The sequence below is a fragment of the Homo sapiens genome, chromosome 1 (genome assembly GCF_000001405.40).
Source record: "Homo sapiens chromosome 1, GRCh38.p14 Primary Assembly".
Classification (NCBI taxonomy): Eukaryota; Metazoa; Chordata; class Mammalia; order Primates; family Hominidae; genus Homo; species Homo sapiens.
Window position 1 is genome coordinate 176,778,153 of NC_000001.11, and position 23,711 is coordinate 176,801,863.

General features: G+C 40.4%; 1 protein-coding gene across 6 annotated transcripts in view; it reads left to right on the forward strand.

The window, feature by feature from the left end:
• Window positions 1-23,711, forward strand: part of PAPPA2 (pappalysin 2) — a 382,427-nt gene that overhangs the window by 314,978 nt on the left and 43,738 nt on the right. For all 6 annotated transcript variants that reach the window (XM_047427180.1, XM_017002024.2, XM_017002023.2 and 3 more), the window contains 4 exons: window positions 11,657-11,825; window positions 13,195-13,330; window positions 15,408-15,517; window positions 21,909-21,980. In XM_047427180.1, coding sequence (XP_047283136.1) covers window positions 11,657-11,825; window positions 13,195-13,330; window positions 15,408-15,517; window positions 21,909-21,980 — 487 coding nt within the window. The remainder of the gene's footprint in view (window positions 1-11,656; window positions 11,826-13,194; window positions 13,331-15,407; window positions 15,518-21,908; window positions 21,981-23,711) is intronic.

Consider the following 23,711-nt stretch of genomic DNA (forward strand, 5'->3'; position numbering starts at 1 on the left):
TAAAAGAAAACACACCAAAATAGAAACTTTATTAAATTAAAAAAAAATGTACTATTCTCCCCCAATTAGTACACTCTCTGTCTGCTTTATATCATCCTGCTGACAACTCAAGTACTACAGTGGCTTCAAATAGATCAAGGAAAATAGGGGAAAGAGGGGGAAAAAGAAACAAAATAATCAGCAAGATAGATCTGGTCATAATTTAAAAAATTAGGATGAGCAAATAAAGTCAGGCTGGTCTGGAAGGAGAAGGGCAAGGGCATGTCCTGGAGACATTACCCAGATTTTTAGGCTCTTGATCTTTTTGAACCATAGCTTGAAACTCTGGAAGATTCAAACTGATTTTATCCTATCCTAGGAAGGGAAAGAAAGACTTGGTTAATAAACTGAAAATGTGCAGCTAAGGCAAGCTAAAACTCATTAAGTATCCTGGATTCATAGCTTTTAAAAAATTATAAAAGTAATCTACCTAATTGTTAAGCTCTGTGTCATAGCGGTGTGCCTATACATTAATGAATAGGTGCTAAACCTATACACTTATATACACATGTTCTATCTATGATTGCTCAAGGAAAGAACACACATTAATCTCTATGTACACTCATGTATCTGTGAGAAATAGAAATTTGTTTTCTTTCCAATAAGACCTTGCCTGGCTTTATAATTAGTGTTTATAGTAAATACCTTCAAAATTTATCCTTGAAATCCTCAAATATCTTGCCATTGTAGGATAATGTGTGCTTCAGGCTAATTTATTAAAGCCCCTTTTGGCTTCACAGTGATTGAATCTCTGCCCCAAGACTTAGCCATTCACATACACACCTGGGTGCAGGCCAGATCTTGACTGCGGGCTACAAGGGGCCTGGTGACTGGCATCCATGCTCTCACTTCAAACTCAGCCCTTGTTGAATTCATAAATTTCCCTATTAACTTCAACCTCAAACTAGAGAGCATCATATTGTAAAACTTTCTGTTTTATATTGACTGCTAATATCTATTAATCAGAGTACATTTTTAAAAACTTGAGTAAGAGCTTAATTGTTTTATATAAACCAGTAGGACTTTATTCAACCTGTAACTTCACCCCCTGCTGCTCTTTCTGGTCTTCGTTTGTCCTACTCCTCCTGTGTCTCTGGCTCACCCTTTCTTCAAGCCCATTGAGTGAACATTTTGGTTGTGGTTTTGCTTTTGCTCTCTAGTGATGGGGTCAAGCCAGGCCAAACTGATTCATAAACTGTCTCCTGAGGGATTCTGGGTGGGACAGAAATACGAAGAATTAAGTAGGGTGGAGAAAATGAGCAGAATGTTAACATTCCATACTCATCACACACACACACACACACACACACACACACACACACACACACAGAGAGAGAGAGAGAGAGAGAGGAGTGTGGCTGAGCAGATCTTCTGATCATCAGGGATAGCTAGTAATTTCTGCTGCTTATTGATCATGGTCATGTGCTATTCATTGTACTGCGTGGTTTAAATATACTGCCTCACATAATCTACTCATTACCCTGTGAAGAATGTATGACTATCCCTATTTTCCAGCTAGGAAAGCTGAGAATAATAGAGGTTATGTGATTTTTTTAAAGTTAGAGATTTATTAAGCACCAAGGCTAGAGCTCTAACATCTCCTGATTCCAAAGCACCTGCTTTCAGCCACGCTGCTACACATTCTTCCTGATGGGAATCTCCCAGGTGCAGCCACTAAAGGCCTGCTGAAGCCACCATGACTTCCGATTCTCCCTTTTCAGTCAGGGCAACGTAAATGCTAATCAGCTCTTTTTCTTCCAGCCCACATCAAGGGATGTAATGTCAGGAGTATGGCCAATGCAGGATCCACCTGTGTATATTCCAGGTCCTTAGGTATACCACAACTTTTTAGAAGTTCTGATAACACATTAGCAAACTAGGGTCTTATCATTGCTATGGCTTCCAGATAAGGGACAATGCAAATAACTTTGCTTTCTCAAGGAGCAACAGTGACCTGCAGTGGTTAAGTTAATTCCCAGGTGAGGGTGTGAGTGTGTGTATATACCTGTGAGCACTTTCAATCACGCCTGTCTGTGAGTCAGACTGATCAGGAACAGAAATATAACAATACCTGGAGGAATTCTTGTGCTGAAAACTTTGTGAAGATGCAAAAGTTCTTACAAATGAGATCAGCCTGCCCCCTGAAGTTGAGTGTATACAGTGTGTTGCTCTTTTCTGCCAGAATTTTGTTCCAGTGGACTTCCCTCAGGCTCTTCCCCTGCCCTGACTCTCCCCAACAGTAGGTAGAAAAGAGAGGGAGGGAAGGAGAGGTGGAGGGGATATGCATATTTCCTCCATTTCTCCATTTACAGTTTTGGCTAAGACTTTTGAAAATCTCTGGGTTCTCACCTGCACTGTTCCCTCTGCCTGGCATATCCTCCTCTGCTCCTCTACCTGGTGAACCCACTCAAAGGCTTCCTTTACTGTTATTCTTCATGTCTGCAGGCAGTGTTGGCAGCTCTGTCAGGTCAGTATTCCAACCCTATTATAATATTTCTATTTGTTTTTACAACCGCAAGACCTAATATAATAAATAGGCATATTCTCGGTGCTCAATAAATATTTGTTGAATGAATGTATAAATGGACAAGTAATTGAATGGTTAAAGAAAGAGGTTCCTATTAAATGTTTTCATGTTTCAAGTCCAGTTCACCCCTGAATTTTGGTGTAATTTCCAGTTTCTCAACCATGCACTGATGAGAATTGATATTTGGACTTTGTGAAATAATGCTAATAGCTATTGTATACATTTGTGTTTAAATCACATGAAATGGAGAAACCTCATGTTGTTTTTAGTTTGGGGTGTAACCTGGGCATATTTGGCAGAAAAATCTGTTGGCTGCATGGAGAATGGAAGAAACTCATGAAAATAGATGAAGTAGGAGCTGTTGAACTTGATGTGAGAGAGACGAGGAAAGGAGATGTAGATGATTAAGACATCAGCAATGGAAAATGGAGAAGGGGCCCCAAACTTGGGTTTAGGTGTTCAGACCTAGGGACCAGGCATTATTGTACCTGCCAATCTGGAGACATAAGATTTAGAAGAAAGTCCAAAGATAAAAGTGAGGGGCGGGACATGGAAGTAAAATGGTCTACACACTTTTAGGAGTTAGCAGGTGGCTCATTTTTTCAGAGAGGCTCTATTTTACATGTGAGAAGAGCTTTGTAAGGGGCTTTTTTTTTTTTTTTTTTTTTTTTTTTTTTTTTGTCAGGGAAGAAGGCCAAATCTAATATGTCTTGTTGGATAGTCCTGCTGATGCTATTTCTTATCCTGTAGAAAGGGCTAGAATAGGACATCAGGAGACCTGGTATTAGAGAGTGCACAATAACTATGATGGGCTGTAGACTTACCATGTCTGAAGTCTGCTTGCTCCCTATTTAGGATATTGGCTTGGGAAACCAGGCCTGCAATTTGTTAGAGGAAAACTGGCATGGGGTTTGGAAGTGCTGATGGTTCTGTTTGGGGCTAAGTAGAGAACCGTGTCTTTTAAAATGGTCTAGATCACTGTTTCTCAGTCTTTAATATGCATAGGAATTATTTGGGGGTCCTTTTAAAATGCACATTCTTGTTGAGTCAGTCTGAAGTGGATCCTGAGATTTATTTCTAACAAGCTCCCTGGTGATTCTAATATTGCTGCTCTAGGTACCACACTGTGTGTAGTAAGAGGCTAAAGTGTATTCGGAGTGAAAAGGCTTTCTAACTTCAGTTCAAAAATGGACCATGTATCAGACAAAACAACTAATTAATGCTTTAGTTTTCTAATTCATGCAATGGAAATCATGCAATTGCCTCTTTCCCTTACATCTTCTTTTTAGGGATATTCTAAATGATAAGATTTGGGGATCCTCAGCACAAATGCACTAAGTGAAGAGAGGTAATTTATCCATAGCTCCATTGGTAGAAACCTGAATGCTTCCATTTTATAATATAGGCATTTGGCATGAGACTCATCATAGTGCACATCCCTGCTCTGCCATCAACCAATTAGATAACCCCAGGCAAGTTATTTTATGTTTCTAAATCTTACCTCATCTATAAAATAAACATTTATACATTCATTGAACCAATATTTATTGACAGCTATTATGTACCAGGCATTGTGCTGCATACTGGGAATATCATAGCAAATAATGCTTTGCCCTCACCAAACTCTTTTCCATGGTGGGAGCTGATGATAAGCAAGTAAAACCAATACACAAAATAATTCAGGGTATGCATCCTATGAAAGGAAAAAAGATGCTTTGATTAAAAAAGAAAAAGTTAGAGGGGCAAAATAAGGATGCTTTTGGGTGGTAAGAATTATGCTTAGATAGGAAGAAAGAAAAGGAGCCAGTCAGGAGAAGATAAAAAAAAGAAAAGCATCATGACTCGAGAGAATGGCACCAACTCTTGAGGCTGGGAAGGTCATGGGTTGTGCTTGGGATTCTAAGTCCAGTGTTGGTGAAGTGTATTAAGGAAGGTGAATGTGGCATTGAATAAAGTTGGAGAAAATGGAACCAGAACACACGGGACCTCGTAGGCTAAAGAAAGAAGTTTGGATTTCATTTTTCATCCTAACAGAAGCAATTGAAATATTCTACACAGGGAAATTTATTTTTTTGAAAGTTCCCTCCGACTAATCTTTGCTGACTGGCTGGGAAGGGATCTGAAGGAGAAGTGGGGTGTCCAGTTAAGAGGTGAGAGTTGGTGGCTTGTGTTAATGTTTGTGGTAATGCTGAAGTATAGAGACAATTTTCAGAAACACCTGGGAGGTAAAGCAGGACTTGTTGATGGGTTAGAAGAAAGCAGATGGGGTGACCAAAAAGGTAAGATTGAGAGGAAGAATAGAATCAGTGATGGCTTTTAAGTTCCAAGCTTGAGCAACAGGGCAGATGATAGTATCATTTACGGAGTTGGGGATGGTTGAGGAGGCTAATATCTGGAGTGAGGGAATCAAGAACTTAAACAATAATAGTCCCTATCACACAGAGTGGGTCTGAGGACAAAATAGTATAGATGTATATTTTCCTATACAATAGTTAGCACTTAAGTGCTCTATGTGTTATTGTTTTTCTGTTGTTGTTATTATTCCTGAGGGAGTACCCACTGGAGACATCAGGTCCCCTTGGTCAGCAAAGACATGATAATTCTCTGGGACTCAACAAATCATACTTTTATTTTCACAAATGGAAAATAAATGTTACTCTCGAAAACCCTACAATGGTGATAGAAGGATGGGGTGGACTATGTGTGCCTCAAGCAACATCAATCAAACTTTCAGCCAAGTTTTGATGACAAGATCTTTATTTCTAGCAATGATGTAAGAAGCAGAAAGAGCACAGCTGGGTTTTCAGCATTAGGTGGATACCATAAGTTCTGGAAATTGGGAAACGCACCTTCTAACTTGGAAATTGTGCTGATTTGTCTGGAGAAGTTAGAGGGAAAATAAATACAAACCTTCCCCTAACCCCGACTCCTCGTGATACCATTTACAGTGTAAGGAAGAAATCACAGAGCAAGAACGCTCAACTAACAACCCTAGCCAAAAGACTGGATGCTTAGCAAAGACCAAATGGGACAGTTACAGGGCTGTGAGGTGGATGATCTCGCTCTCTGGTTTCTACACCTTACTAGCATGAGAAGGTAGCATGAATTTTAGTAGTTTACCAACCTGGCTGCACATAAAAACTTCTGGCAGGTTTAAAGATACAGAATCCTGGGCCCCTCTCAGGAGTTTTAATGCAGTAAGCCTAGCAATCTAGATTTTTAAGTGGCTTCTACATAATTCTGATGGGATTGGTCTACACATGTAAGTTGGAAATCATTGATCTCATGATCAGAATGTTATATTATGATTTGAAAACTTTGAATCTATGAATTGCTGTGCGAACATTGGGTAAATCGCTTCATGGTTACTAATGTGATTTCCTGCCTACAAATGAGGTATTTTAGCTGACAGACAGCAAGTAGAATGTTTTACATGGAGGGTACTTGGCATGGGCTATCAAAGATGTTTTGGAATCTCTATCCTGGTAAGGGCCTGTTTGTCTAGTATCCAATGCTGTCATTCTTTCAAATGCAATCTATTCACTTCATGACTTCAAGGAGTCGTTTGGTTCCTGATGCATAGGCCATACACAAAGGATCATTGTGAATAAAACCAGTTTTTTCATTAACGATTTTAAAGGTGTCAAAGGTCACTCCTCAACATCACCAAACTAGAAGCAATGCAGAGGCACTGGGGATCAGTCCATCCATTGCTGTGTCTCAGTCAGTTTGAGCTGCCATAACAGAACACCATAGATGGGTGGCTTAAACAACACACATTTGTTTCTCACAGGTCCAGAGCTTGAGAAGTCCAAGGTGCTGGCAGATCCCTTATCTGGTGAGGGTACCTTCCTAGCTTGCAGATGATTCTCTTTTTTTTTTTTTTTAGACAGAATCTTGCTCTGTCTACCAGGCTGGAGTGCAGTGGTGCGATTTCAGCTCACTACAACCTCCGCCTCCCAGGTTCAAGCGATTCTTCTGCCTCAGCCTCCCAAATAGCTGGGACTACAGGTGCTTGCCACCACACCTGGCTAATTTTTGTATTTTTAGTAGAGATGGGGGTTTCACCATATTGGCCAGGCTGGTCTTGAACTCCTGACCTCATGATCCACCCACCTTGGCCTCCCAAAGTGCTGGGATTACAGGCATGAGCCACCGCGCCCGGCCAGATGATTGTCTGTTTTCTGTGTCCTCACATGGCAGAGCACAGAGAGGGCAAGCTCTTATTTGTTTTCTCATGAGGGCATTGGGAGGACTCCACCCTTGTGACTTAATTACCTTCCAAAGACCCTACTCCCTAAAATACCATCACATTGGGAGTTAGGATTTCACCATATGAGTTTGCGAGGGCCACAAACAGCGCTAGGTAACAAAAACATGAACAGGATTGGTGGCAAGATTTAGGCTTCAGTCTTCTTCAAGGGCCCTATGGGGAAACCAAATTTCTTGGGACTAGGAAGAATCCAGAACACTCTAAATTCCTGGCACAATCCAACCAGCTCATAGCACTGAAGTGCCAAGTTCCATACCATGAATTCTCAAGACTTGCGCCATAAGCTGGGATCCATGAAATGAACATCAGGCAAAATGAGACAGCCCTCACTATTGGGCCCCGAGATACTTAACCTATCAAATGCTTTGCTAGAAGGCTGTGGGTGAGGCTTAGAGACGTTGGTTGTCTGATGTAGAGAGATGCAGAAGTCCTGGGAGGCCCATGGAGAGACGGCAGTGCAAAGCTGTCTTCTGTACAAGGGAGAACAAACCATAAGGAAAAAGAATCTTTGAGGCTGAGAGGGGCAAAGGAACCCCTGCAGAAAGAAAACAGAATTTCCTAGGGAATTGGGACTCTCTGCCAACCCCTCCCAACTCCTGCCTGCAGTGCCTCCTCTCCAGTCTGGGTCCGGTGTAACTGTTCTATTCTCTTGCTGCTTTCTAGCCATCCCCCTCCTTGTGTTGCTGGTGGTTTGTAGCGCAGGGCCTGTCTCGTTGTCTGGGTGCCATGATGGAAGGCTACATTCTTCTTCCCCATCCAAGTTTGATCTGTCTACTCTCACCCCTGAGGTTATTAAACTGGCAAGGAAATATATGAAATCGGCATTCTTGAATGGCTCTTTAACTCTGGGCAAGGAAAGGGAAGACTATTTCCATGGTTGAAGTATTCCAACCAATTCAGAGAAAAATACCACATGAAGTCAAAATATGATCGTCCTGGCCAAGCAAGGGTTTTCCTTTATAATCATGCTGACATGCAAAGTTTTTACAGCCGTGCTTCTCCCCTGCTGTCAGTGGTATTGCCTGCTTTCTCCAGCTGGGGGATATCAGTTCAGCAGAGGTAGGGGAAGGATTTCATCTGTGGGAGGTGGTAGAAAGAAGAGAGTCCCCGGAGGATATAAACTCTGCAGTGTGAAGGAGGAGTAAAATATCCATTCTAGGAGAGGGACAAAAAGGAGCCTCGTTAGAGTAAAAAAGAGCTGCAAACCCTTAATTGAAAATAGATTTGGAGAGGCATTTTTAAATGTCATCTTTCTGGAGGGAAAGAAGAAACTTACTAAGCAATACATTTCATTTGTATAAAGTTTAAAACCAGGCAAAACTCCTCTATGCTGATGAAAGTCAGAAGTGTCTGGTGTTGCAAAGTAGTATGCTGTGAGGGTGGGGGGATTTTAGCTGGGAAGGAATGCAAGGGGGAATTCTTAGGGGCTAGACATGTTCTGTATCTTGATCTGACTGGTGGTTACCCAGCTGCATTCACAGGTAAAACTTCCTCAAGCCGTACGCTAAGATTTGCATATTTTTCTATATGTAATTCATTACTCAATACAAAAATTTAAAGTGAAACTTCTTTTTTGCCCACTTATGGATGTGGCATTGGGACACAGGTCATCTGAGTGCTCAGCCCAGGATGAGGACGCATTAATAAAACTGTGGAGCACGCCAGGAACAGTCAGAGCCTGACGTGGCAGGAGGACCGGGGGCTTCTGCTGTGAGCAAACCTGGGTCTGCATCCTGCCTGCAGGGTTTACCGTGTGTTTTGAATAAGCTTTAATTTTCTCTCAGGCTCAGTTTTCTTCTTAAGTGTGGATAATAACATTTACCTTTAAATGTTGTTTGATCCAAATACCATATGTTCTCACTTATAAGTGGGAGGGGAGCACTGAGTATACATGGACACAAAGAAGGGAACAACAGACAGTGGGGCCCACCTGAGGGTGGAGAGGAAGAGGAGGGTGAGGATGGAAAAACTACCTACAGGATACTATGCTTATTACCTGGGTGATGAAATAATCTGTACACCAAACCACTGTGACATGCAATTCACTCATGTAACAAACTTGCACATGTACCCCTGAACCTGAAAGTTGGAAAGAAAAAAAAAGTGCTGTTTGGAGGATTCAACAAAATAATGTACATAGGTATCTTGCCAAACACTTGAAATATAGATCAAAAATGGCATTTATTTTAATAGCTAGAAGATACATGTCCACACAGACTATGATGCTAAAAAATTCCAGTCATAAAAATCAGATTTTTTTTTTTTTGGACACAGTCTGTATCACCTGGGCTGGAGTGCAGTGGCATGATCATAGCTCACTGCAGCCTCAACTTCCCAGGCTCAAGCCATCCTCCCACCTCAGCCTCCCCAGTAGCTGGGACTACAGGTGCGTGCCACTGTGCCTGGCTAATTTTTGCATTTTTTGTAGATAAGAGGGTTTTGCCATGTTGCCCAGGCTAGTCTCAAACTCCTGACCTCAAGAGACCTGTCTGCCTCAGCTTCTCAAAGTGCTGGGATTACAGGAGTGAGCCACCATGCCCGGCCAAAAATTAGATTTCTATTGCAAAATGTCCTTGGGAATAAAGTTATGAATCTAAATAATTATTTAACAATAAAACACTCCACTTATTTCTAAGTATATATTATTTACATATGTTTAACTATTAAAATATTTTATTATTAAAATTATTTGAAGTTGAATGAATTCTGTGATGTGAGGTCTTCGAGAAATTACTTAACATCCTTTAGTGTGTTTCTGTGAGGTGGGATTAAAGAGATGATTTCATAGGCCGGGCACATTGGCTCACGCCTCTAATCCCAGCACTTTGGGAGGCTGAGGCGGGTGGATCACCTGAGGTTGGGAGTTCAAGACCAGCCTGAGCAACATGGAAAAACCCCGTCTTTACTAAAAATACAAAATTAGCCAGGTGTGGTGGCACGTGCCTGTAATCCCAGCTACTTGGGAGGCTGAGGCAGGAGAATCACTTGAACCCGGGAGGCAGAGGTTGCAGCGAGCCGAGATCGCGCCATTGCACTCCAGCCTAGGCAACAAGAGTGAAATTCCATCTCAGAAAAAAAAAGAAAAAGAAAAAAAAAGATGATTTCATTAGTATTATAATGATTCAACTTGGTGTTATCGAATGTGCCTTGCAATGTACCTGACATGCTGTTAGTTTCAGTTCAATGATTCAATTCAGCAGATACTTACTTAATGCCGAATATAAACCAGATATCACTTTAGTTCTTGGGAATTACAAACAAGACCACCACATAGCCTCTGGCTTCTGGAAGCTTCCAATCTAGTGGGAAAGACAGTCACATGTGCATTTATAAAACAATGTGATAAATGTTTTACTAGTGCTGCAGAAGCTACAGGAGGTATTGCACTATAGTCAGTTAGAAGACAACATGCAAGGGTTGGTGGGCATATTTAACCTTAAAAGGGGTGTAATGAGACTAGAAAATGGTGATTTAAGGCTGCCACATATTTGAAAGAGTCAATGGCCAAAGGGTTATTCATATTTTAGAATTACAAGCTTATCTGTAACCAGGAGTGTTTTTCATTAGAAGTGGATATGTTAAAATGGCAAATGGAAAGCACTTTCAAACTGCAGTGAGTCAAAAGGGGAATGGAATGGAATCCTCAGTAGGGAGGACCCTAATTCCATTGACTCCAATCCACATCAAATGCTGTCACTCTGGTTGGGGACCATGTCTGGGCATGAGAAGGAGGACCAATTCTTCCAGGGCAGTATTGAGTCATGTCTACTTTGAGAAGCTGGTGAAAGTTATGAACTCTTTCCAAGGAAAAATAAACTTGTAAACAAATGGAGCAGTCATCTCAGAAGTTATTTTCCTTCTGAAAGTTAGGTTCAGAATCTCTGTTTTAAAAGAAAACTCATATTGCTGCACTTTCTCCCCTCTCTGAAGAACCAATAAATAGTAGCAACTTCATCAATTATATTGCCATATCAACACTGTTGATCCTCAAATCACTTCTGATCAGTTCTTTGAATGTGTGATAACCTTTTTTGTACCCCATCTTACCTGACATTTCGTTGTACTTAGATGTGAGTCTTTTCCAAGATGAAGATCTCAGAGAAAACCCAATTACAATTTAGATGCTGTACTATTTATCAAACCCTCTTAAGAATAACCTAAATGTCCAACAATGATAGACTGGATTAAGAAAATGTGGCACATATACACACCATGGAATACTATGCAGCCATAAAAAATGATGAGTTCATGTCCTTTGCAGGGGCATGGATGAAGCTGGAAACCATCATTCTCAGCAAACTATCGCAAGGACAAAAAACCAAACACTGCATGTTCTCACCCATAGGTGGGAATTGAACAGTGAGAACACATGGCCACAGGAAGGGGAACATCACACACTGGGGACTGTTGTGGGGTGGGGGGAGTGGGGAGGGATAGCATTAGGAGATATACCTAATGCTAAATGACGAGTTAATGGGTGCAGCACACCAGCATGGTACATGTATACCTATGTAACAAACCTGCACGTTGTGCACATGTACCCTAAAACTTAAAGTATAATAATAATAAAATTTAAAAAAAGAGTAATAGATCAAATATTTCTATACAACATTTACTACTACTTTGAATAATAAATGAACATTACTATTTTTAGTTCCATGATTTAGAAATTAGCCTAGGACAGTGGGACATATGGCTCACAAGAACCATCTGTCCCTGCCTATTTGCTAATTCTTATGCCATATTGCTGAGGATCAAGTCTTTCATGACCTTCTTGAAAGATTCTGATGAGCTATTTTTGTTTTATGTTTTATCAGCAAGCTCCTGAAGATACAATGCCTGGAAGGTGGAATCTGGGAGCAAGGCAGCTGCATTCCTGTGGTGTGTGAGCCACCCCCTCCTGTGTTTGAAGGCATGTATGAATGTACCAATGGCTTCAGCCTGGACAGCCAGTGTGTGCTCAACTGTAACCAGGAACGTGAAAAGGTAAGGAACATTTTTTGAACTTATTTTCATCAGGCTGTGCTCTAATCTTGATGCCCAATCCAAGAAATTTGAGAAATGAAATTTCTAAAGAATTCCAACAGGCAGGGACTTGGGATTCTAATCGGGAGTGTTGGTATTATGCAATAGAAAATTCAGAAAATACCACATTTTTAAAATGTTCTCTCCTGAGTTCAGAACTTCCTCTGAGGTAAGAAGAATCCAATGGGTAGAGTACCAGGTATATTCCAAAAAGAATGCTGGGATCCTGATTTAGCAATGTGATCTCCTCTCATGGATGGCCACTGACATAAGTTGGCTACAAATACTAGTATTATTATTTTTCTAAAACAGAGTCCTGAACAGAAACACAAATTCCTCGGCAAAGCTGGAAGTGCTGTTTGACTCTTCCCCTCCCTAGGATTTTGGCACAAAAGGTCTCAAATGAAAAACACAGTCTTATCTTTGTTGTGTGACTAAAAGCAATTTTATTTTAGAATCTTTCAAGCCTCACACACATACATGAGACAGGAAGTCAAGCAGACTTCCTAGGCAAAGGTCAGCGTCCTTGTCTGCTCCCTTGGCACCTGTTATCTTAGTTTCCAGTACTCCAAGGTAAGCACCATGGAACAGATGTGAAAAGAATATGGCAGAAAATGAGACCCCTGAGAAATCAAGCACATCCGGTTGCACTGATGGGTTAAGGAACCATCAAGTTGACCAGATGAAGGGAGGGCTACCTACATTTCTAAAATCTTACTTTTTGGGGTTTTGAGAGTTAGTGCTACTCTCTATGTTCTAGATAGAGTATAATTCGTGAAGCCAAGAGTTACACAAACCAGCACACATGTGGAGAAAGGGAATAGAATTTTGGTGAGACCAAAAACAACTATGATGTGTCCATTTAAGCAGACAGGCAAAAACACACCTTTAGGAAATATTATGAATTGGTTTCACTGGATGAAACTCGTCTTGAAAAAATCTGACATTTGCCACCAGCAACATTTGTGTGATAGTAGGGGATGAATCAGTGTAAAACAACACCATCTGGGAAACAATTCCAAAAATAGCTCTGAATATATGAGCTTCGGTTGATAGCTGATTGTGTTCCTATATATAAAGGAAAATACATTGTTAATGCATTTCATTAGTGGAAAAAAATTGTCATCATGATTCCTCTGCTTGGAAAAAGCAAAGAATTTTTTTTTTTTTTTTTTTTTTTTTTTTGGCCAGTAACAATATGTTGTTTCAATAGTGTCTTTTGGTCCAGGTTCTAGAACTGGAGAATACTACCACTTAATCAGACCACTTTTTTCAACTCTCAATAAAGTTAACAAAACAATAATTAAGATGTTTACTTTTGATATTCTAGCTTCCCATCCTCTGCACTAAAGAGGGCCTGTGGACCCAGGAGTTTAAGTTGTGTGAGAATCTGCAAGGAGAATGCCCACCACCCCCCTCAGAGCTGAATTCTGTGGAGTACAAATGTGAACAAGGATATGGGATTGGTAAGGATAGGAGTGAATCTTAAAGTCAATTTCTATGTCATTCTTTTATTAAGCACAGCTGAATTTTTTTTAATTTTATTTATTTTTGTCAGACGGAGTCTTGCTCTGTCGCCCAGGCTGGGGTGCAGTGGCACAGTCTCAGCTCACTGCAACCTCCATTTCCCGGGTTCAAGCAATTCTCCTGCCTCAGCCTCCCAAGTAGCTGGGACTACATATGCCTGCCACCACACCTGGCTAATTTTTGTGTTTTTAGTAGAGATGGGGCTTCACCAGGTTGGCCAGGCTGGTCTCAAACTCCTGACCTCAGGTGATCTGCCCACCTCAGCTGGGATTACAGGCATGAGCCACTGCACCCAGCCCGCCCAGCTGAATCTCGAATCAGACACTGTTCTCCCTGAAGAGTGGATTGAAATGCAAGTTGACTCTTAGCTGCTTTAGTAAAATTGAGATTTATGGCAACTTTGAGGGGCCTAGACCAGATGGATTTGTGGTATGGTTTGTAGCTCCAAGATGAAAGGTGGGACTGTGTAGCCACATAGCATGTGTCTGCTGGGCTCCTCCATTCTACTTCATTCTCTGTGGTTGTTACTGGAGTGGAGAATTACTGAAAGAGATGATTTGACATTCCTCTTTCATGCATCATTCTTCAGCCATTCTTTCTCTGCAGAGGAATAGGCTCCAGAGTCGTGGACAACTTCTTATTCAAGCAATTACAATTAAAGGTCTTCGTGGCCAGAGCTGATTTATAGTCATGTTAACTTTGCCTTGGCTGGCCCTAAATATCATAGGAAAGAGTTGTAGCTGATGCGAAACCTTGTAAGATTACTCCTAAATTCTGAACTGCATTAGCAAGGAGTAATTTTATCGGACATTCTAACCAATGCCAATGAGTATAATTTGCATTAATTAGGAAGCTCATTGCCATCTTCAAGGTGCTCTTTGCACAGTGATGTCTTGTGGTCAGGCATAGAGTATCAGGGAATTCAGATGCTCCTCTTGGGTGGTATTTCACAAACAGGTTCTCATCCTCCAAGCCTCCAATTTCTGCGTTAAAATATCATATACTCACATATCTAGAGGCCTTAAGAGGAATGTAGTTCTTTTGATTGTTTTAAAAGTCACTGAACCCACTAACTCGTCGGTGGGTGCAGCGCACCAGCATGGCACATGTATACATATGTAACTAACCTGCACAATGTGCACATGTACCCTAAAACTTAAAGTATAATAAAAAAAAAGTTAAAAATAAATAAATAAATAAGAGTCACTGAAAAACATAGAAACCTAGACAGTAAGGACTAAAAAGAAACTTGGAAATCATCAAATCTATAGATGAGGAAATAGAGAACCTAGAGAGTGTATTTTCTCTTAATATAATTTTAGGAGACATTTGGACTCTGTGTGGAAGGGAATAGAGCAAGATTTTTCTACAAGAGACCAACACATGCCCAAAGTCTCTGCTTCTGATTCTTCACTGCTTCCTCCTTTAATCAAATAGGTTTATTGGCTGCTGATGCAATTATCTTTAGTACAGCAATAGAAAGAATAGTCTCTGGAGTAATTTTATAATTTCTGGGCCATTTCCCGCCACCCACCACCACCACCACCAGCATGTCAAGTTCTTAGGTAGTAGTTGTTGCAATTTTAAGCTTCCAGGAGACCATGTAAACAGGAATATTAGATATATTTAAAAGTTATGAGCCAATCAGGATAGACTTTGTCTAGCTAGAGTCCTGGAGGGGATCTTGGAGGCCAGCTGGGCCAAGAGTTAATCTTTCAATTACTACATCATGTAGAAATTCAGGCATTCCAGAGGAGGGGTTATCCTGGACAGGACAGAGGAGGGGACACCTGCAGCAAGTTGAGTTAGGTTGGGGCAGAGTCTCTTTACCAATTAGTGTGAAGGTATTCCTACAGGAACACAGTAGATGAATATCAGCCCTGCCTACAACGTCATAATATGGTGACCCATGATGAAAGCAGTTGTTCTTTAAAAACTCAAAGCTATTGATTCCTGAAAGAAAAAGAATGAGATCTGGGAAGTTCAAGTCTCTGCTGTAAACTTCTGTTCTTTCAGGTGCAGTGTGTTCCCCATTGTGTGTAATCCCCCCCAGTGACCCCGTGATGCTACCTGAGAATATCACTGCTGACACTCTGGAGCACTGGATGGAACCTGTCAAAGTCCAGGTGAGGAAAGGGACATTGTTATGTGCCAAAGACATGAGTCTGCTGAGCAACACTTGGAGCATTATTTTTTGGAGTAATTTCAGAGGCTTTCAAAGCATCCTCAAAGCAAACAACCACATGGATTATTCCTAGAAAGAAGGATTAAACATTGAAAAGAAAAAAGAGGGAAGCTTGAAAACAAAGATATCCGCCGAGGTGGGCGGATCACAAGGTCAGGAAATTGAGACCATCTGGCAAACACAGTGAAACCCCATCTCTACTAAAAATACAAAAAATTAGCCCAGTGTGGTGGCGGGTGCCTGTAGTCCCAGCTACTTGGGAGGCTGAGGCAGGAGAATGGCGTGAACTCCAGCCTGGGCAACAGAGCGAGACTCCATCTCAAAAAAAAATTCAAGTATATCAAGTATACTTTTAGATGCCTACAGAGTTTATTTGCCTTGCTCTGGGGGTTCTGCTTTGTATTCCTGCCTGACTTATAGAATAATACATTTTTATTAAAGGAAGAATTTCTGAGGTCTTAGGTAGTCTGGCGTTTTGATGAAAAACATATCGAAGTAGCAACTGACATAAAAGGAAGAATGAGGTCCTCCGGGGTTCAAATACAATGTCACTTACTCCTTGGAGCCTCTGTCTGCTCACCTGCAAGGGTGAGGGTAATATCTAGCTTGCATGGTTGTTATTAAATTTAAAATAACACATGTGAAATGTCTTGCACAGTTTCTAGCACATAGTTCTTAATTAAATAGAAATGAGATTTCAGTTCACTTAGTACAAATCTTACCCCTTGGAAATATCCTCCATCCCTGAAAAGATATCACTAGCTATCTCCATGCAAAATAAAGAAAAATGGGGTTCTATAGTTTGTGTGTGTGTATATGTGTGCACGTGTGTGTATATACAATAATGTCTAGGTCATTTGTCTTTTTTTGTCTCTTTTATAAACTGTGCTGAGAAAGGAACTAATGGCTATTCACTGTTCCCTATTGGAACACCTCTGACAACAGAAGCAATTTCTAAGAGCTTTTTATTGTGAGACTGAGAAGAGAGGCAGGATGAAAATATAGTACTTTTAGATGTGTCAAGGGCATGCTGGATGTGAGAGACAAGGGCATGCTGGATGTGAGAGATGTAAGGGTTTGAAGTTTTCAGATGGACTTTCTAGGCCCTTGTCATTGCAATGGTGTCTTCCTCCTTCACCTGTTACGCATGGGGATCTAGACCCTTCTGGTGGGGTAAGGAGTATACTGACAGAAAGGAAGGATGCCAGACCAATCTATGTCTGCCAGCCAAGGTGATTGAGCAGTGGGACCTGGCAGTTGCGACAGGCAGGGGGCAGCCGAATCGTCAATGGTGATGCCCATTGCTCATGTCCTCATGTGCCCAGATCAAAGGCCTCTGCCCAATGCCCCTGCACCTGCAGCAGCACAGACACTCCTGTTGTCCAAGGCACCTGCACCCAGCAAGTGGGAGAAGCTCCCTCAGACTTTCACTAGAGGCACTTTTTTATTTTCTCATCCCTTTTTTTTCTAGATTCTTATTCTTTTTCTTCTTTTCTGCCATGCTAATCCCAATTCCCCAGTAAACTGTACTACTGCTGAGGGTGGAAATGATACCTTCTCCTTCACCCCCGGTATCTCCTCAATGCGGGATTCATTTCATCTTTTACTCAGGAGGAGGTGGCTGCAGGAAATCAAAGGGCCCACAGAAAAGGATGACTGCCACAGAGCCATTTCTCAAAGAAAGCCTTTTTGTTTTCCCAAAAAGCTTATGTTAAGTTGAATTTTTATGATTATCCTTAATCATGATGTCAAGAGAGTGTTTTACTGTATCTCATGACTTTAAAATAGGAAAAATTAATGTTTTGCAAAGTAGTAGTCCTTCAGGAGACTGATTTCATGGAGAATTTTTTTAACATATTGTGGCAATTGTTTGCATGTAAATGAGTTTTTCTAAATAGCATTTGAAAGTGTTTCCTTCTGAAGTACAAAGACATTCATCATGACATCTCATTTCCCCTATTATTTTGCTTCATAAATTCATTTTTCCACAGACTAAACAGCACTATTTTTCTGGAATACCATAATTATGAATTAGTGAGGTCCAAATAAATGAGATTTTCCTGTGGATACATGAAATAGGTTTGCAAAGAGCCTTTAACACTATATGAAATCTCTCCCAAATTCCCAGCTTTTCAACAGAATTCTCCAGTTATATCAAATCTTATAATTTCTAACTTTGTTTTCCCAAATTGTTCCCCAAAACATAAATAGTGCTTTAAATAAAAATGACTGTTTTAAAGAGAAGGGAGAAGGAGGAAGAAAACGAGAAGATAATACACTGGCAAAAGCCACAGTTTCCAACCAAATGACCTCACTCTTCCCTCTGGCTCTTAATGCTCAGCCCCACCCCCAAAGTGTCCTCTTGATGGGTACAACTGTGTGTAACAGCTCCAGTGACACTGGCTGCAGATCATTGGAGACTCAGACATGAGTCATGGAAAGGTCTTCTTTTTCATCATTTTTAAGCATGGAATCATTCCCTCTAGGCATCAAGTGTCCCATCACTGGAGGAGAGTAGACAAGAGCGTCTTGGAGGAAAGGGGAGGAGGAACAGAAAAGCAAGTTGCAGGGTAGTGTGCTATGGTCTAAATAAACATGCAAAGGATGTTTTACTCAGGAGCACATACATGTAGCAATAAGGAAATTATCACAAATGTGGACATTGGCAGAACTCTGTGCCCTGATGTGATTAGCAGCCCATTCTGTCAAATAACTACTCCCATTAAAAAATAATTGAGCAATTTTCTGTTAGCCTTTATTGTTGGCTATTCTTGAGTTTTGTGACCTTTAACAAGACATTTAACCAGGCAACGGCCTTCATGGTGACTTATGACCATCCTAGTAACCTTTACTGTTTCTTTCTTTCTCTTTCTTTTCTTTTCTTTTCTTTTCTTTCTTTCTTTTTCTTTCTTTTCTTTTCTTTCTTTTTCTTTCTTCTTTCTTTCTCTTTTTCTTTTTCTTTTCTTTCTCTCTTTCTTTCTTTTTCTTTCTTTCTTCTTTCTTTCTCTCTTTCTCCCTCTCTCTTTTCCTTCTCTTTCTTTCTTTCTTCCCTTCTTTCTGTCTTTCTTCCTCCCTCTCTCTCCTCTTTCTTTCTCCCTCTTTCTCTTTCTGACCCCCTCTCTCTCTCCCACGTCCTTCCTTCCTCCCTCCTTCCTTTCTTCCTTCCCTCCCACTCCCTTCCTCCCTCTATTTTCTTTTCTTCCTTTCTTTTCCCCTTGCTTTTTAGAAACTTTCAAATTGTCCAATCAGGAGGAAATTTTTAAACTAATTTTCTCTTAAACTTTTTTTATGTTGGAAAGTTCAAAACAAATCTTTGGCATTTAGATACTGGAACTCAATCATGCAAGAAGTTGCTTGCTAATAGCATAATTGCAATAGTTGCAATAACATAGTAATGCATAGATTTGCATTTGTACAATAACAAATTCAGAATAGTTGTTACCAATAGGGAGGAAGGAAGTATAATTATATTGGAGGGACATATATAGGAGACATGAATTGAATCTATAGTGACATATTCTGGAAAATGTTAACAATTTTTGATAAAGTTAGGCAAAGGATATAAAGTTTTCTTATCATTATAGCTTTATATGATTGTAATTTTTCAAAAGTGTTTCAGAAAATAAGAAAATCAGCTGGGCACAGTGGCTCCTGCCTGTAATCCCAACACTCTGGGAGGGCAAGGTAGGAGAATTGCTTGAGGCCAAGAATTTTAGACCAGCCTGGGCAACACAGTGAGACCCTATCTCTATAAAATAAAAATTTTTTAAAATTAGCCTGATATGATACATGCCTGTAGTTTCAGCTAGTCAGGAGGCTGACGCAGGAGAATCACTTGAGCCCGAGAGATTGAGGCTGCAGTGAGCCATGATTGTGCCACTGAACTCCAGCCTGGGTGACTGAGACTGTCTCAAAAAATATATATATAAATAAATAAATAATAAAAGAAAAGAAAATTGTTTCACCTCTCACCAGGAGCCAGCCCTTCCCTGTCCATCTCACTGCTTTGCTTTTCTTCCTGTTTCACAGCCCTCTTGCTCCTCAAATGCTCCCATAGAATTGAGTCTTGAAAAACATTTGAAATTTCCCTCCAATTATAATTGCTAAGTACTTGTTTTATTAATGGCATATACATATATTTATAAATAGGGAACATCTTTATGAGATATATGATTTTCATAGAAGAAGGCTAGAGACACGATATCATAATTAGTGGCTGGCAAATGCTTGTAAAATTTCGTCTTTCCATAAGTCACTGAGGTAAGAAGTAGGAATGCTAGATAGTCCCTATTCTAAAGGATTTTGCAATCTAGGAAAGGATATGACACAGGTACCACCAACTTTTGCAATTTCTGTAGCAGTTAAGGAGAGATGTCAGTATAAATTAATTAGTCTCAAAATTGAATTATGCATCATTAAAAATCTATAAGGTGGGTATTGTCAACTCCACTATTATGAATTTATTCTTCAGATATACTTGTACATGATTTATATATAAGCTTTGTTTGTTATAGCAAATGACTGGAAATAACCAAAATATTCATCAACAGGGATCTGATTAAAGATTTTGAACTCTTTAAGGGCCTTGACTAGGTTTATGGATTTTCAGATCCCCTTGCTCACTGGAAAATCTGACCCATAGTGAGTGAGTGAGGTATTTATATGTTTGGTCTGAATTGAATAACTGACTGATTAGGGTGGGGAACTGGGGGTCCATAGTGAATACCCTCCTATGAGAAGGAATAAAGTTCTCATACATTTACCTTTCAAAGAACAAATTGTATTTTGCCATTGCTACTATCTGGGACCCCAAAGTAGTACAAACCATTGATATTTTAAATAATAAAATTTATGACCACTGCTCAGTAGAGCTCCAGTGGAACCTGCTTTAAAGCATAAACAAGAATTATTTCTAGTTAACAGAATTACTGTTGATATGCAAATGGTTCTGCATAAATGGCTGTAAGTGCAGGAGAATAACTCACTTTTTCAGTAGGCTGAACACCCCTTTTGTGTTTACCTTATATATTTATTTTGATAACCCCTTTTTAATACAATAATGACTTAAGCCAAGTCACTTTCAAATATTGCAATATGAAGTTTTGAATATCAAACTTTATAAGGATTTATACTACTTATTTTCCCTCTAGAGAAGCTGTGAAGGAGGAGTTTTAGCTTTTAGCAGTACGACTCCAGAAAAATATTGCAGATCCCCATTCTCCTACCTGACTATGAGGTATATATTTATAGACCTGCATATTAGCATATGTGAATGTCTCCAATCTAATGATTACACATTGTTAGCTTTCTAGAATTCCTGTAGGTGCTATCTCGTGTAAAGCTCCTGTGTTGCCATGTATTCTTTTTCTTCTGAGTGCATGGAATTTCAGTTGGACTGATTAAAATGTGAATATGCAGGTCTGCAGAAGGGTGGGTTGGTAGCAGGCTATGGAGAGAACCTTCTTTTCTCTTTGAAACCTGCCATGGGACTTTCTTTTATCCTTAGAAAAGCATATTCTTTGAGAATTTTAAACTATAAAAAGAAAAAGAAAAAAGTTTTGTGAAAATGAGTTATTATTATTTAACAAAAAGTAGATGACTATTTGTTTAAATATGCATCTGGAAATGGCCATCAGGAAAGAGGCAGTCAACAGCATCTCAAGATGAACGTAACTGCGCTCCCACCAGCTTGATGTTGGTGTCATTTTGAGTAGCAGTGATTTCACACTAGCCCTGTGTGTCCTGCATATGTGTACTGTCTGGTTTCCTACAGGGCAGGCTGCATGATGATACCAAGAATTACAGAGTGCAATTTCACCTCCAGTCCTGGTGTGGGCACTCACATCTTATAATCTAGCATTTCTGAGGTCCACATTTAGTTGAAGAATCTGTAAAACTGTATTTGTCGATCTTTAAAAGCCCATTGTGTGTGATCAACACAACCATCTTACAATTTCTTGTAACATTATTTAAAATTTCAAAATAAGTGGAACTAATATTATGCCTGAAACCAGATGAAACTCATTATAATATTGAGGATGCTTTTTTAAACCACACTACACCACTCTGAAAATTTCGGTATCTTGGGAAAGAGGATGAAAAGTTTCGAGAAATCTCCTCCACTGAGACTTCCTGCCTGAACCACATCTGTCAGGGTGGGCAGTGTGCACGGGAAAGGCTAGATAGCCCCAATCCACTTTATGGGACACAATTAGAAACTAGCTGCTTGAGAAATGGAGTTGGACTCCTGTGGTGAGCTCAGGATTTGCCCCTTCTCACACACAACAAATGTCTTTAATTTTGTTTTCTGTTTTTCCCGTCTTTCCCCTTAGAGCATTGTGTGCACTGGCCGGCGTCAATGGCACCCAGACCCCGTCTTAGTCCACTGCATCCAGTCATGTGAGGTAAGATAGCCTCCCCTTCCCCAACTCAGACTAGAGAACTCAGGTGGATTTAACTTATGGAGCTTGAATCCTTCTAATTTAGGACCTGGTCCCTCTCCTATTCCTCTGTCCTTTGTTTAACTTCTTAAATTAAGTTGGTTCCACGATCTTAAATTTACAGAAATTAGGAGTTCTGATTTTTGTTTTGTTTTAGCAAAATCTTTGGAGATCCACTTTAAATGACTTAATAAAAGCTAACTTAAAAAGCAAGTCAGAATTATTTATGGTTTTGGGATTCTGTAACTGGGCCTTGTTTGAGCTTAATTCACTCAGGGTTTTGGAGACTGATGGCCCACTGACAGGTTTATTTGGCCAGCACAATGTCTAAAACCAATTTTCTTTTTGGTTGCCAATGTTTAAAAATTAGGATTTTTACATAAAATTCATATGTGCATATATAACATTACACACATATGCACACATCCCAAATAAAAATAAATATTTAAAACTCTGCACAAAGATTTTTCTCTTGAAAAACAAGACTAGCTGGCAACCGTGATGACAATTAGCTGGATCTGAGTAGCAGCTGCACCCCAGGTGGGCAACTCTCTCCAGTTAGCACAGCTTTTACCTTTCCCTATGGCTACTTACCTGGTGGGCACCCCTTGTTTAAAATAACTGCCTGGGTCATGCAGGCATCTATGCTTGCAATCTCTTAGGTAGACCTGTTGTCCACTGTTGATTAACCAAACTAGACCTTTACCACCTCAAGAAATCTTGTCTACTTCTTCACATAGTAGATTCCCCAATCAGTGGGGGGATGTAGGCTGCTGTGATTTCTTTAGTTAGATTAACTGAAGTTAATTTTAAAAGTCAACTTTTAAATTGAAGTTAATTTTAAAAGTCAACTTTTAAATAGGGCAGAATATTTCTAAGAAACGATGACCTAGAAATTCTGTCATAGGGGAAGGAGATGCTTACACACACACACACGCACACACACACACACACACCATTTAAGCCCTCCCAACCTAAGAATAGCCAGTGACAAGTACAAGCATTCTCGTCTCAGTCACAACAGGTTTTGTCATCCATATCTCACACTGGAAGGAAATAAGCCACTTAGCAGCAATCTTGGGTAATTATGGCTCCTGTAGGTGCTGCAGAGAGACCCCTTTAACTGCCCTGATTTCCAGCTTCTTCCCTGATGCACACCCAACCCACATGCATGTCAAGTCCATTCTTCTGTATCTCTGTGTTTCTTGATCTAATTCTGGGAATCCAGGATCCACATGAGACTGGAGAGGGGGAAAGGGTGGGGTTTGAGAGAAAAGGGAAAACTGGCTGGGGAAATCATACCAATAAAACAGCACTCTGCGAGCGCATCAGGAAAAATGCTAGCATGGAGTGTGCTTTGTTATGGTGTGGGCCAACAAAACAGCTCATCTTCTGCCATCATTAGAAAAACAGATGGCAGTGGGGTGGGGACGCGGGAGAGAGAAGGAGTGAATCATCCACTGGGCAGGGGGTAAGAAGGAGGGAAGAGAGGAGGCCAGGGAAGGAGGGAGATAAACAGACAGAAGACTGGGGAGCTGGGAACAGATCAAAGGGATCCTGAGAATTCCCTTCTGCTGCTTCTATGCATGATCTCAAGTGGGAGGGTGGATGACAGGGCTTGGAGCTGGCTTCCGTGTTTCCCAGAGGGTTATAATACAGACCTTTTCCCATTTGTTCTCCCCTCCTCCCTGCACC